General features: G+C 39.4%; 1 protein-coding gene and 1 pseudogene across 17 annotated transcripts in view; one reads left to right on the forward strand and one right to left on the reverse strand.

Moving 5' to 3' along the window:
* The window catches only part of MIGA1 (mitoguardin 1), a 99,892-nt gene that overhangs the window by 23,882 nt on the left and 61,045 nt on the right, over positions 1-14,965 (forward strand). For all 17 annotated transcript variants that reach the window (NM_001270384.2, NM_198549.4, NM_001416120.1 and 14 more), the window contains 3 exons: positions 3,445-3,571; positions 10,204-10,337; positions 11,578-11,701. In NM_001270384.2, the coding sequence (NP_001257313.1) occupies positions 3,445-3,571; positions 10,204-10,337; positions 11,578-11,701 (385 nt within the window). The remainder of the gene's footprint in view (positions 1-3,444; positions 3,572-10,203; positions 10,338-11,577; positions 11,702-14,965) is intronic.
* LOC653631 (axin interactor, dorsalization associated pseudogene) lies at positions 6,238-8,405 on the reverse strand (annotated as a pseudogene).

Genomic DNA, 14,965 nt, shown 5'->3' on the forward strand with positions numbered 1-14,965 from the left:
TGCTTTCTTTAGGCAAGTAAAATACCTTTTTGCTGACTATTAGTCAATTTGGTTCTAGGTTTCTTTGAATAAGTGATGTGGTCTCATGGGGTCCTGTGAAAATAGTGTTGATGTGGAAGTATTGCTTCAAAATTAGATGTTCTTGTTTTCACTTATTTGTGGGAGCTAAAAATTAAAACAATTGAACTTATGGAGATAGAGAGTAGAATGATGGTTACCAGAGGCTGGGAAAGGTAACGGGGGGTGGAGGGGAAGTGGAATGGTTAATGGGTAAAAAAATATAGGCAGATAGAATAAATAGGATCTAGTGTTTGATAGCACAATAGGGTGACTGCAGTCAACACAAAGTATTATACATTAAAAAGTAACTAAAAGATTATAATTAGATTGTTTATAACACAAAGAAGGGATAAATGCTTAAAGATAAAGGTGATGGATACCCCATTTACCCTGATGTGATCACTACATGTTGTATATATCAAAATGTCTTATGTACTCCATAAATATTTACACCTACTATATATCCACAAAAATCAAAAATTAAAATTAAAAAGAGTTATTAATTTAAAAGAATTAGCTGTTCTTCAAGAAGCTGGACAATGCAGCCAGACTTTGTGCTGGGTCACAGTAATCACTTGATGAGCCTACATAGGTGAAAGTATTTGGTTTGCTGAAGCCAAGTGTGAGGTTCTTCACCTCCTTCTTTGAATCATTAATACAGTATTGACTGACAAGCAGGAGGCTGCCCATCTTTATTTGGAGCATTACTATTAATGCTGATTGACAAGTGAGGAATGAAGTTAGTATTTGTTTAAATCTAATGTGATTTAAACATTAATTTAAAAAACAGGTAGAATATGTACCTGCTATTAAATACAGAACAGGCAAAAGAATATACAATGAGAGCTGGGTGCTGTGGTGGTGCCTATAGTCTCAGCTATTCAGAAGACTGAGGCAAAATTGCTTCAGTCCAGGAGTTTGAAGACAGCCTGGGCAACATAGAGAAACTTTGTCTCTAAAAAAAATAATAATAAAATAAATGTGTTCCTGATCCACTCAATTCCCCGCCATGGAGATAAACAACATTAACAATTTTTTTTTTTTTTTTGAGATGAATTCTTGCTCTGTTGCCCAGGCTGGAGCGCAGTGGCGCGATGAGCTGGAACTCAGCTCATTGCAACCTCCACCTCCTGGGTTCAAGCGATTGTCCTGCCTCAACCTCCCAAGTAGCTGGGATTACAGGCATGTGTCACCACACCCGGGTAGTTTTTGTGTTTTTAGTAGAGATGGAGTTTACTATGTTGGCTAGGCTGGTCTCGAACTCCTGACCTGGTGATCTGCCTACCTCAGCCTCCCAAACTGCTAGGATTACAGGCATGAGCCACCATGCCTGGCCTGTATTCATTTTTTCTTCATAGTTTATAGAACACCATATTCTGTTCTGTACCTTGCTTCCATATTTCTTTTTTTTTTTTTTTTTTTGAGACGGAGTCTCACTCTGTCGCCCAGGCTGGAGTGCAGTGGCACAATCTCCGCTCACTGCAAGCTCTGCCTCCTGGGTTCATGCCATTCTCCTGGCTCAGCCTCCCGAGTAGCTGGGACTACAGGCACCCGCCACCACGCCCGGCTAATTTTTTGTATTTTTTAGTAGAGACGGGGTTTCACCGTGTTAGCCAGGATGGTCTTGATCTCCCGACCTCGTGATTCACCTGCCTCAGCCTCCCAAAGAGCTGGGATTACAGGCGTGAGCCACCACACCCGGTCCCTTGCTTCCGTATTTCACTGGAATATATAGCTGCCCTATTCTGTAATGCCTAAAAATGTACTAAATTTTTAAAGGCTCTTCTAGGATAGGAACAGCTAGATCAAAGGCCTACAGACTTTCAGTTTCTCTGTGAAACCGAGCAGCATAATGAAGAATATGCCTATTCTTTTTTTTTTTTTTTTTTGTCTTTTTGGCAGTGTATTGATGGAATATACCTATTCTTTTTTCTTTTTTTCTTTTCTTTTTTTTTTTGAGATGGAATCTCACTCTGTTGCCCAGGCTGGAGGGCAGTGGTGTGATCTTGGCTCACTGCAACCTCCATCTCCCGGGTTCCAGTGATTCTCCTGCCTCAGCCTCCCGAGTAGCTGGGATTACAGGCGTGCACCACCACACCTGGCTAATTTTTGTATTTTTGCATGGTTTCACCATGTTGGCTTGGCTGGTCTCGAACTCCTGACCTCAAGTGATCTGCCCGTTTTGGCCTCCAAAGTGCTGGGATTACAGGCGTGAGCCTCTGCGCCTGGCCAGAGTATGCCTGTTCTATAATGTGAACTTCCTCAGTGTCTGAGAAGTGCCTCTTCTGAATTTCCTCAATTGAAAGTTGAAGCCCTTGTTGACTAGAAGTAGATAAGGTGAATTTCATGATAATAGTGTAACAAGTCTTTAGAATCACTGTACTGTACTTGCCTAACTGAACTAGTCATTCCTCTTTTGTTAAATCTTACAATTTAACAAAAATATAAATTTAACATAGTTGCCAGTATTTTTATACTGATTACAGTAGAACATTCAAATACCACCCTAATTAATTAGGTGAATATTTTACTCTTCATTTCAGAAGCAGCATAATCTGTAGGCTATATGTTGTAACTTGTTGCTCCTAGGCTACAAACCTGTACCACATGCTACTGAACTGAATAATGTAGGCAATTGAAACACAATGGTATTTGTGTATCTAAACATATCTGAACATAGAAAAAGTACAGTAAAAATACAATTTTGTAATCTTACGGTAGGGTTGACTGTTGTATATGTGGTCCGTCGTTGACCCAGATGTTGTTATGTCGAAAGTGTCTGTAGTTAGTTTGAGATGCCAGCAGAAGAGCCAAATGGAGTCACCTAAAAGGCAAATGAAAATGTGGGCTTAGATTTCTCAAAACTGAACTGGAATTAGGACAGAACTGGAGTTAGGAATTTGAGAATCATCTGCATAGAGGTGATTGAAATGATTTGCTCAGTGGACCTTGCTAGGAGAGGGCATTTACAAAGATGATAGTGGCTTTTTTATTTTAGGTATCATTTAGCAGAGAGTCAGCATTGTAAAACATTCTAAAAGAAAAATAAGCTAGCTAGCTTAAATCACAGTAGGTATAGATAAAATTTATAAGTGAATGCTTAAAAGAATAAATGATATAAACATAACTGCCTGATTTCTGATGGAAATAAGTGATTTACATTCAAAATACTACTCTTCTTGTGTATTTTTGAGCAAACAGGCTTAGAATAGAGTCGTGATTTCTAAGTTTGATTGATTATCATCAGAATTATTTCTTCATGTGGAAATTACATGGATTGTCTTACCACTAATAGGATTTATAAAAATAATTTGTAAATATGAAAGATCACAACATACTATCATGAGAGAGATTTGAAGTAACTTCTATCCATCTTAATTTTAGGTCCAGAGTGTCAATTCTTGTCATAGCTGCGCTTGTGGCAATTCTAATTCCTGGGACAAAGCAGATGAAGATGATATTAAACTTGTTAATATTCCTGTGACTACTCCAGAGAACTTATACTTAATGGGTAGGAATGAGATGATAACATTTTAAGATACTGTGCTCACATTTAATTTGTTTTGTTCTTGTTTTTTATTTATTGAGACAGACAGGGTCTCACTCTGTCACCCAGGCTGGAGTACGGTGGCGCGATTACTGCTCATTGCAGCCTCAACTTCCTGGGCTCAAGTGATCCTCCCACCTCAGCCTCCTGAGTTGCTGGGACCACAGGCGCATACCACCATGCCCAGCTAATTTTTAAAAAAAATTTTGTAGAGATGGGGTTTTGTCATGTTGCCAGGTTGGTCTTGAACTCCTGAGCTCAAGCAATCTGCCCGCCTCAGCCTCCCAAAGTACTGGGATTACATGCGTGAGCCACCACGGTTGGTGGTAAGTTGAAATTAAAAAACTGAATTGTTCTAAGAGAAGCAACTATAATTTTAAATGTTCTTATATCTGTTGTATCTAGTCTTCATAACGTCATACATTGTGTTAGTTTAAACTAATACAACAAAATTAAAACAGCAGAAAGAGTTTTGGAGGCTAGAATTTCATTATCACTGGGCTGAAATCAATATGTCAGTAGAGCCATGGTCTCTCTGGAGGCTTAGGGGAGAATCTTTTCCTGGCCTCTTCCAGCTTTTGGTGGCTTCCAACATTGTTTGGCTCGTGACCACATCATTCCAGTCTCTACCTTTGTCTTCGTGTCACATTCTCCTCTGTGTGTATCAAATCTCCCTATCTCTCCCTCTCTCTCTTTTTTTTGAGACAGAGTCTCACTCTCGCCCAGGCTAGAGTGCAGTGGTGCAACATCGGCTCACCGCAACCTCCACCTCCCGGGTTCAAGTGATTCTCATGCCTCAGCCTCCCAAGTAGTTGGGCTTACAGGTGTGCATCACCACCCCTGGCTAATTTTTTGTATTTTTAGTAGAGATGGGGTTTCACCATGTTAGCCAGGCTGGTCTTGAACTCCTGAGCTCAGTTGATTTACCCGCCTCGGTCTCCTAAAGTGCTGGGATTACAGGCGTGAGCCACCTCACCCAGCCACCTTTCTCTCTTTTTTTTTTTTTTTTTTATTATACTCTAAGTTTTAGGGTACATGTGCACATTGTGCAGGTTAGTTACATATGTATACATGTGCCATTCTCTTATAAGGACACTTTTGATTAGATTTAGGGCCCACCAGATAAAGTAGGATAATCTCCCTGTGTTGGGATTCTTAATTACATCTAGAAAGATGTAAGATGTTACCTTTATTTATAAGGTAACATTTACATGTTCTAGGAATTAGGACCTGATATCTTTGGGTGACCATTATTCAGCCTACTACACTATCTTAACCTAACCTGTTGACTGTTATATAATGAATCTATCAGAACTCACTTTACTAAATATGTTTTTTCTAGCTATCATTTGTATTATATCCAGAAAAAAATTTTAAATAGAAAGAGGCTTTCTGTGTTTCACATCTCAGTATTTCTTGACTTGACCATGAACATGTCTATGGAGCCTCACTGGAGCCCTGAAGAAGAACCAAATGAACCTGTTGTTGAATCAGAAGATTCAAATGCTTTTCCCTGTTCTCTGTTCTGTTTCAGGCTATCCTCCTTTTAGTGGAAATGCATACTAAATAAAAAACAAAACCAGTAAACTTGATGTGGCCTTGGCCAGTGAGCAATGAAGGGTTGATGGCTCTGTGTAGAAGGACTGAGTGCCTCAGAATGCATTCCTACTCTCTAGAATAGTTAGACTATCTCATCTCCAGTGCCATCACAGTGGGTATTCCTATGGGGAAAGAAGGTCTCCAGAGAGTTAAATTCACATATTTCTAGATTACTCTGTGTCTAGGAAACTTAACATTCACAGCTTCTGTTAATATTACAAGTTTATGGCTGGATATGGTGTCATGTACCTGTAGTCTTACCTACTTGGGAGGCTGAGGCAGGAGGATCACTTGAACCTAGGAGTTCAAGGTTACAGTGAGCTAATTGTGCCACTGCACTACAGCCTGGGTGACAGAGCCCGTTTTCTTAAAACAACAACAACAACAACAACAACAACAAAAACCTCAGAATATTAAAAATTCAAATTGAAGAAATGTAGAGTAAAACTAGAGACGCCACAGGGGGGTCTTTGTGTTACAGGATTAAGATTGCAAGGAGCCCTGTGGACCACCTGGTATCATCACCCATCTGTTTCAATTCTCTTTATAAAATTGAAGACCTTAAAAAAAGATTGGTGACATATGTTTGACTTGCTGTTACAAAACTGATGATATTTGGTAGTCTGGACTATATAGTGAGGTAGACATAGTACTTCTTGAGGAGACAGGTTTTATCTTTGTGTTATACAACTCTGCTGTAAAATAATTCTTCCTGAAGCCAAGTGTGGTGGCACATGCTTGTAGTCCCAGCTACTTGAGAGGCTGAAGTGGGAGGATCCCTTGAGCACAGAAGTACAAGACCAACCTGGGGAACATTGTAAGACCCCATCTCTAAAAAAAGAGACCAAAAAAAACTAAAAAAAATAAAATAAAATAATTATTCCTGTGTTCATATGTTCAGCCAAAATAATAAGTGTATAGAAGGGATAGTGTGAGAAAAGGATGAAGAAATTAGAGTTGCATAACTTGGAGAAAGGAGAATAGATAGTGATATAATTGGTTTTTATGTGCATAAATGTTTTTTTTTTTTTTTTGTACTATGAAAGTTTTATTTATGCCCCATTAAGTCAAAAGTAAATTATAGTAAGCTAATGACCTGCATATTTTCATATGGATGAATGTCAGTATATCTAAATAGGAAATAAATGGCGATCCTATCTACCTATATAAAAAAAATAGAATATCTTTCCAGATTTTGCATACTCCTCACTGTAAGAAGAGGTATGCAGGTTTTAAGGTTTCACAATCAGTTGTCAGAAAAACAGCACTTATGCCTGCAGTATCTCGTTAGCATCTGACTCAATTATTTTTAGATTACATTGTTTAGAAGACATTGTAAACCCATCTAAAACTTTGTAATTATTTTGAGATGGTTCCAATGTTAACCCTAGAATCATCATCAGAAAGAGTAACAATGTGATGTAGAAGAACAGCTAATCGACATGACTAAAAATATGCTCATTTTCAGAAAAACAATCTGGTCATCTGGAAACAATCACAGCTACAACCTAGGGAACACTCCCATGTGGGATACTGATCTGGCCAAGGCACACTTTCTAAGCAGGAAAACTATCAGATCAGGGTGAATTTAGGCCACTTCAGAGGTGCTGCCTATAAACATCCAGACAGACCTTCTTAGGCAGCAGAACTGGTCCCATTCCTCTCAAAGCAGTTTGACACTACCCTACCCACATCAACCCAAAGCTTGACATTAAGTCAAAAGAGCATATTGGAGCAAAAGTGAACAGATGTGTAAACTCTAGCACATTCTTATTGCTGTATTAAGTCTGAAGATGAGCACATCCTACCCACAACAGTATTGTTCCAGGAAGCAGGGTAGGAGTAGTGGTAAATTAGAAAATAGACTATTAATTGCACAATTAATAGAAAAGTAAAAACATGTTTCAAAATCTACAATAAACCTGTATCCCAAGGAGTCCTATACGTCAGTGATGTGCTGGACTCTGAATTCTGTGGTACAGCTTTGCATTGGACTCCGTCCGGCCTACTGGTCTGGGTACGGCTTGCTTCCTGCCTGTTGAAGGGTGAATATGCTACACAGAGCTATGATGGTTTCTACTGAGTGGTAAAATTCACAGAAGTTCCAGGTTCATCATGTCAGGATCATTCCTTGTGCAAAGTTTGATGTAGATGAAGATAAAGTGGTTTCTTGGTCAATAATTGCAATTTCTTTCTTTTAAAGTCAGTGGGTTTCTTGTATAGTTCTATTACAATTGGCCCAGGTTTAATTTCATCCATCTCCATGAAAGCAAAACACTTGGTGCTGGTAAACCTTTTTTTAGGCTTGTAGGGTTTGAATTCAAAGAAGATAGCTGCACCTTTGGTTAATTTTTCAACATGCTTCTGGAGCTCAATGTCCACATTAAAATGAACATATGTATCTTCTTTTCTTGAAGCCACAGGAGTATCTTGCACAGGAGTTAAGTCTATGCCATTCAGATCCTTTACACTAACTGTAATATAGGGATCGATGCACTGCCCAGCATCTTTCAAACCAATTTTCGCAATTCTGATAGTGAGTAATGTCATTCCTGGTTCCGATGGCAACCTTGGTAATAAAGTACCGGGAACTCTAGCAGGAAAAGAATCAGGAGACCCTGCTCCAGCACCACCCTCTTCTTCATCTTCTTCAAATTCCAAATTCTCTTCTTCACCAGGTGCCAAAATTCTTCTTAATGGGACAGGCTGAACATCAAATGGGAATTCTTTATTATATGTAAGAATATTCTTTAGGATTGGTTCTAGCTTCTTCAGGTCCTCCAGTTTAAATTCTTCTTGAGACTGTGTGGACTGTAAAGCTGCACTTCGCAATTCCAAGCATGTTGCAATTTTGCCTATGGTTTTCTTTTGTTCTTCTGTGAATTCAGAATTATTGTGTTGAGCTTGGGCCTCCTTTTGTAGATGTCTTGCTAATATCTGATACTCGTCTATCGCCTCCACCAGCTGGCCCCAAGAGTCGAAGTCGGCGCCTCTCCTAAAACTGGCGCCCCAGCGCTGCAGCAGACTCCGGGTCACCTCCGACATGGCCGGTCCCCACCCCGTCCCCTCCCGCCCCTACCCCAGCAAGGCCGGGTTCTAGGGCGCCATCCTCCCCCGGCCTGGCCCCGACATTAACAGGGCCAGGAGGAACCGCTACGGCCACCACCGCCACCTGCCGAGGAGCCGCCCAAGCCCATTTTGCATAAATGTTTTATGAGGAAGATTCAAAAGCTATTTTTTGCTACAGAAAATCAAACAAGAAGGAAAGGCCTGCATTTCATTTTAAGAAATTTTAGGCCAGGTGTGGTGGCTCACACCTGTAATCCCATAACTTAGGGAGGCTGTGGTGGGAGGATTGCTTGAGCCCAGGAGTTTGAGACCAGCCTAGGTAACATAGTGAAACCTCATCTCTACAAATAAATAAATAAATACATTTAAAAAAATAAAAGAGGCTGGGTGTGGTGGCTCACGCCTGTAATCCCAGCACTTTGGAAGGCTGAGGCTGGTGGATCACCTGAGGTCAGGAGTTCGAGACCAGTGTGGCCAGCATGGTGAAACCCCATCTCTACTAAAAATACAAAAATTAGCTGGGCATGGTGGTACATGTCTGTAATCCCAGTTACTTGGGAGGCTGAGGTAGGAGGTTGCAGTGAGCCGAGATGGTGCCACTGCTCTCCAGCCTGGGCAACAGAGTGAGACTCTGTCTCAATAAATAAATAAATAAATAAATGAATAACAAATAAATACGAAATTGTATTCATTTAGGATTGTAGGTTCTATAGGTAATTGAAGAAATGACTTGAGAGGAGAGGTATTTTTTAGCTACCATATCTTAAAAACATCAAGAGAATGACTTGCCCAGATTCTTAAACAGCTTTTAAAGATCTTTTTCTTTAATATTTAACATCTTAAAAATACTTTAAAAGTTGAAGTTTTAAACTATTTTTGTTTTGTTTGAAGTGCATAGTTATTTTTGTAAGCCTTGTTTTTTAATTTGGAGAAAAGGAATCACATGTTCATTTTTTTTTCACACAAAGCTTTCTCTCAGCAAGGAAAGGAAATTCCTACTTGGACTATAACTAACTTTTGATGGGTTCATTCAGTATCTTGCAGATTTTTAACTCTGGCCCACCAATTTATCCAAATCCGCCTGTTGGGATCATAGTGGTTCAGGACACCCTTTAAGGGACAAAAGGTGGAAAAGGCTTTTATTTTAGACTTCTATATTATTATCTTTTCTTCAGCTTTACTTTCTTTTTTTTGAGACAGAGTCTTGCTCTGTCACCTAGGCTGGAGTACAGTGGTGCAATCTCGGCTCACTGCAACCTCTGCCTCCCAGGTTCAAGCCGATTCTCCCGCATCAGCCTCCTGAGTAGCCATGATTACAGGCACGTATCACCACACCTGGCTGCTTTTTGTATTTTTAGTAGAGATGGGGTTTTACCATGTTGGCCAGGCTGGTCTCGAACTCCTGACCTCAGGTGATCCACCCACCTCGGGCTCCCAAAGTGCTGGGATTACAGTCATGAGCCACCGCGCCGGGCCATCTTCAGCTTTACTTTGTTCTTCTGAGAACTTATAAACCCGGTAGCTTTTTGTAAACTGGTTTCTTCTATCTTCCCATTAGTTTTCCTTTTAATTTACAGGGATATTTTGAAACATAGTTGTGTGGCTATAAAAAATAGCTATTACTGTGGAACTTCTGATGAATTCATTATATTCTTTTAGAAAAATTCTGAGCACCATATACATTTGTGTTATATTTTTAAAGAAATGAAAACATATTGGCCATTTTGTCTCTGATTTTTGGTTAACTGGAACCATAGGCTGAGAATGTATTGGGAAACTAAGATTCTGTCATGAAATGATGTATGATTCTTTAGTGTCAAAATTAGACTGTGACATCAGTGATAATGTATGAAAACATTTCAGGCCCCAATAATTTTATTTTGGCATTGATTTTGCTCAGTTAAAATTGTTCTGTTCTTAATTTTTAGGTATGGAATTGTTTGAAGAGGCATTGCGTCGATGGGAACAAGCTCTGACCTTTCGCAATAGACAGGCTGAAGATGAAGCCTGTGGTTCCATTAAACTGGGTGCAGGAGATGCCATTGCTGAAGAAAATGTAGATGTAAGGGTGATTGATTTGAGTGGTCTTCATAATATTAGAAGAATCAAACTTTTTTTTTGTTTTTTTGGTAGAGGTAGGGTCTCACTGTTGTTACCCAGGCTGAGTCTTGAACTCCTGGGCTCAAGCGATCTTCCCGCCTTGTCCTCTGAGTAATTAGGACTATAGGGATGCACCACCATGCCAGGCTAATTTTAAATTTTTTGTAAAGATGGTGTCTCACTATGTTGCCCAGGCTGGTCTCGAACTCCTGGCCTCAGGCAGCACTTTCACTTTGGCCTCCCAGAGTGCTGGGGATTATAGGCATGAGCCAAGGTGCTGACCCAAAGTATTTTTTAATGTTGATTCAGTGTATTTGCTTTATGTGCATTTAATAGAACTGTTTTTTTCTTCTTCCTTGGGACAATGTGGGGTATTTCTTATTAGTCTTTTTCTATCCAGGTAGTTGTTAAATGCCAGATTTACCATTCATCAAGTTTATTGACTTTCCCAGGATATGCAAAATAAGCAGATTGATTTCTAAAGGATTTTTTTTTAAAGAAATGGGGTCTTGCTATGTTGCCCAGGTTGGAGTACAGTGGTTGTTCATAGGAACAATCATAGTACACTATACCCCAGAACTCCTGGGCTCAATCAATTCTTCTGCCTCAGTCTCCCAAGCAGCTGGGACTGCAGGCACATTCTACCTTGTCTGGCTTGGAATTTTTTAAAGTTTGATTTGTGCTTTGGGATTAATTAAGTGCCATTATGTTCATTAAAATCACATAAAGGTGTAGAGCTAGACTAGTCCTTATTGATTATTTAGTTAAGCTAGTGGTTCTCAAACTTGAGAATGCATAAGAATCACCTAGAGGACTTGTTAAAACACAGATTTGGAGGCCCTACCCCATGGGTTTCTCATTGACTAGGACTGGGGTGGATCCTAAGAATTTGCATTTCTACCAAGTTCTTGGGTGATAATGAAGCTGCTGGCTCAAGGACCTTACTTTGAGAACTGCCAATCTAGTCTAACTCCTTAATTTTATAGGTAAAGAAACTGAATCACTAAGAACTAAGGTAATTTTGCCAAAGACACAGCTAGAACCCAGGCCTCTTGACTTCTGCTGCTGTACTCTTTCCACCATCTCTCAGTTGTTTTTTTATATTACTCACTTTCTTTGCCTTTTATTTAAAAGTGGGAAAAATATTTAGAATTTTAACATTAGAATTTAATTTGTTCTGTGTACTTTTTCTCTCCTTGTAGGATATTATTAGTACTGAATTTATCCATAAACTCGAAGCTCTGCTGCAAAGAGCCTATCGTCTCCAAGAGGAGTTTGAAGCTACCCTTGGGGCATCTGATCCTAATTCCCTTGCTGATGATATTGGTAAGATGGATATTTCATATGGCTTTTATGAAATGTTTACTTTTCTTTTATATCCTTGGAATCATCTGCATAAGTGTCTGTCTTATGTAATAATAGGTTACTTAAAAAAAAATAAACTAGCCAAGAGAAAAAATTTTTATCATATTTCTTTTTTCTTTCAGTTTTAATTTTCAAATGAACTAATGCCCTTAAGATACAAATTCAAGTACTTATCATAGGCAGGCTGTGACATTATTTTAAAATATATTGTGGGTGAAAAAATCTAGTTAAGAGTGTTGGAGGGAGAAAAGAATAAAAATACACAAATGGGACAGACTCAGCACTTCAGAAATATGCATATAATATTACTTAAAATACTTTAAAGAATTATGTATGTTGGGACCCACTTTAATCGCAGGATAGCTGTTGATGTAAATAGTCAGTACATACATCGTTATGGGTCATTACCTTTGTTTCCTACTTTAAAGAGAAAAGAGTTTTAAAGATACTTTTTAAAAAGTTTTTTATTTTTTATTTTTTTGAGACAGGATATCTGTTGCCCAGGTGGGAGTGCAGTGACACGATCACAGCTCACTGCAGCCTTGACCTATTGGGCTCAAGTGATCCACCTGCCTCAGCCTCCCAAGTAGCTGGGACTATAGGCACATGCCACCATGCCTTGCTAATTAAAAAAATTTTTTTTGTGGAGACAAGATGAGGTTTTTCTTTTTTTCTTTTTTTCTTTTTGAGGCAGAGTTTCACTCACTCTGTCACCCAGGCTGGGGTGCAGTGGCATGATCTTGGCTCAACTCAAACTCCGCCTCCCAAGTTCATGCAATTCTCTTACCTCAGCTTCCTGAGTAGCTGGGATTACAGGCATGTGCCACCATACCCAGCTAATTTTTGTATTTTTATTAGAGGTGGGGTTTCACCATGTTGGCCAGGCCGATCTCCACCTCTTGACCTCAAGTGATCCTCCCACCTCAGCCTCCCAAAGTGCTGGGATTACAGGCGTGGACCACCATGCCTGGCCAAGGTGAGGTTCTTGAATGAAGTCTTGGAAGAAAGGAATGATTAAAGTTGCTTCTTCAACTTCTATAAATGCCCCCAAAGAAAGAAAGAAGACAAAATTACATGGTTTTTTTGGTCAAAAATAATTTAAGTCTTTTTTAGTATGAAGAGGATTATTATTTTCCAATTAAAATAAAAGCTAAGGAGTTTTAACTTTTTCCACATTAGTACTGAAAGCAGCTGAACTTTGAGATATTTATATCTATGCATTTTGAGTTTAGGTAAAAGATTTTGTTTGTATTAGAATTATGAATTACTGTGTATATGTCATAAGGTTATATGAAATCTCTTTGGTCTCTGCTTTGTCGTACTATTATTGTCACCAAACATTATTTATTAGACTTGAGTGTTTTTTAATAGCTTCTCTGCTATTAGCATAGGCATAATGTTTTGACATAGCTAGGAGATTACAGTCTAGAAAAAAAGTAGGCAGTATTCGTATCAACAAATATAATTTGTCAAAGCTTTATATTAATTTTTTCTACAGTTTCTTTTGTAACTTTAATTAGAACGTCATTTGTGATACTAAGTAGGAGAAAGAACCGAGAAAAGAAATTTTTTAAAACCTCAAATGTAGAATAAGAATGGAACAACTAGAAAAGTTAGAAAAATGGTGAAGTGGCACGGAATGCCACAGAGAAAAGTAAGTAGGAAAAAATTATAAGGAGGAAAGAGGAAGAGGATCCTGGGACTTTTAATGTCTTACTCTAGGAATGGAGGCTTTGTCTACACTGTCTAATCTTTGGCAGTTTCTTTTAGCCTCATTATAAGGATCTTGTGGATGTGTAGTTCTTGTTCCTTTAGTCTTGTAATATTCATCGCGGATTTGGTTCTGTTTGGCATGCCTGGGCACATTTTTTCTATATCCTTCTGTAGAGGTTGACTGGGTCCGTCTCTTATTTCTTCAGGTTAAAAGGATTCCTTGGGTACAGTCTCAGAGGTCTGCTTTAGATTCTTGTTGCTTTTAGACAAGAATACCTCTGGGCATGTGGCTTAGTTTTTGGGGTCTTAGTTTTGGGGGCTTAGTTTTAGGGGCTTAGTTTTGGGGTCTTCAAGTTGTTTCTGAGGCAACTATTGTTAATCTGGAGCTCTAAATGGATAGGGTGGGACCCACAATCAGTCCATGCACTTAGTTAGCTTAGGTTTGGAATAAGTTCCTGACCCCACTCATGTTTTAACCTGTGCTGTCACTGCCTACTAGACTGATGTGCTTTTCTCTGTAGCCGTCCAGTTCGTTGGCCTCCTGTTGCCCTGGAGATTCCATTTAATGTGAAGCTGTTATATTTTGTTCATTTTGGGGAATTGTTTGGATATTGCAAGTTTGCATTTTTGAACTTCTGGATCAAAAGAGCTGAATTTATGGCTGAGACTCTGGGAGCAGCTCTTTTACAACTGTTACTTGACATTGATCAAAATTGCCTAGAAGTCAGTTAACTCTCCTCATTCTTTAAATCCAAAATCATTGTATACATTTAACTTACTGAGAGGCAACTTAAAGTTAATAGTCATAAATTAAGATAGTGTAACAAATGCCTTCAGAGGCTCGGGGCGAATGTAAACCAAGTATCTATCTGATGTCAGTGAATACTTCATTGTTTTGGAATCTGCTTTGTCTAATTTGATGAACTTCATTTTTTTCCCTTAAGAATCTGGTAGGATTTCAAGATTGGAAGATTTTTTTTTTTTTTTTTTTTGCAGCAGTCTTTCTCTGTCACCCAGGCTGGAGTGCAGTGGTGTGATCTCAGCTTACTACAGCCTCTGCCTCCTGGACTCAAGCCATCCTCTCACCCCACCCTCCTGAGTAGCTAGGACTACAGGTGTGTGCCACCACGTCCTGCTAATTTTTTTTTTTTTTTTTTGAGACAGAGTTTTGCTCTTGTTGCCCAGGCTGGAGAGCAATGGCATGATCTCGGCTCACCGCAACCTCCGCCTCCCAGGTTCAAGCGATTCTCCTGCCTCAGCCTCCTGAGTAGCTGGGATTATAGGCATGCACCACCATGCCTGGCTAATTTTGTATTTTTAGTAGAAATGGGGATTCTCCGTGTTGGTCAGGCTGGTCTCGAACTCCTGACCTCAGGCGATCCACCTGCTTCGGCCTCCCAAAGTGCTGGGATTACAGGTGTGAGCCACTGTGTCCTGCTGAGATAATTTTCATTCAGAATATAACAGTACCTGACCCAGAGAAGACACAAGGATGTACGTGAAGTGCTTAAC

The sequence above is a fragment of the Homo sapiens genome, chromosome 1 (assembly GCF_000001405.40).
Source record: "Homo sapiens chromosome 1, GRCh38.p14 Primary Assembly".
Lineage (NCBI taxonomy): Eukaryota > Metazoa > Chordata > Mammalia > Primates > Hominidae > Homo > Homo sapiens.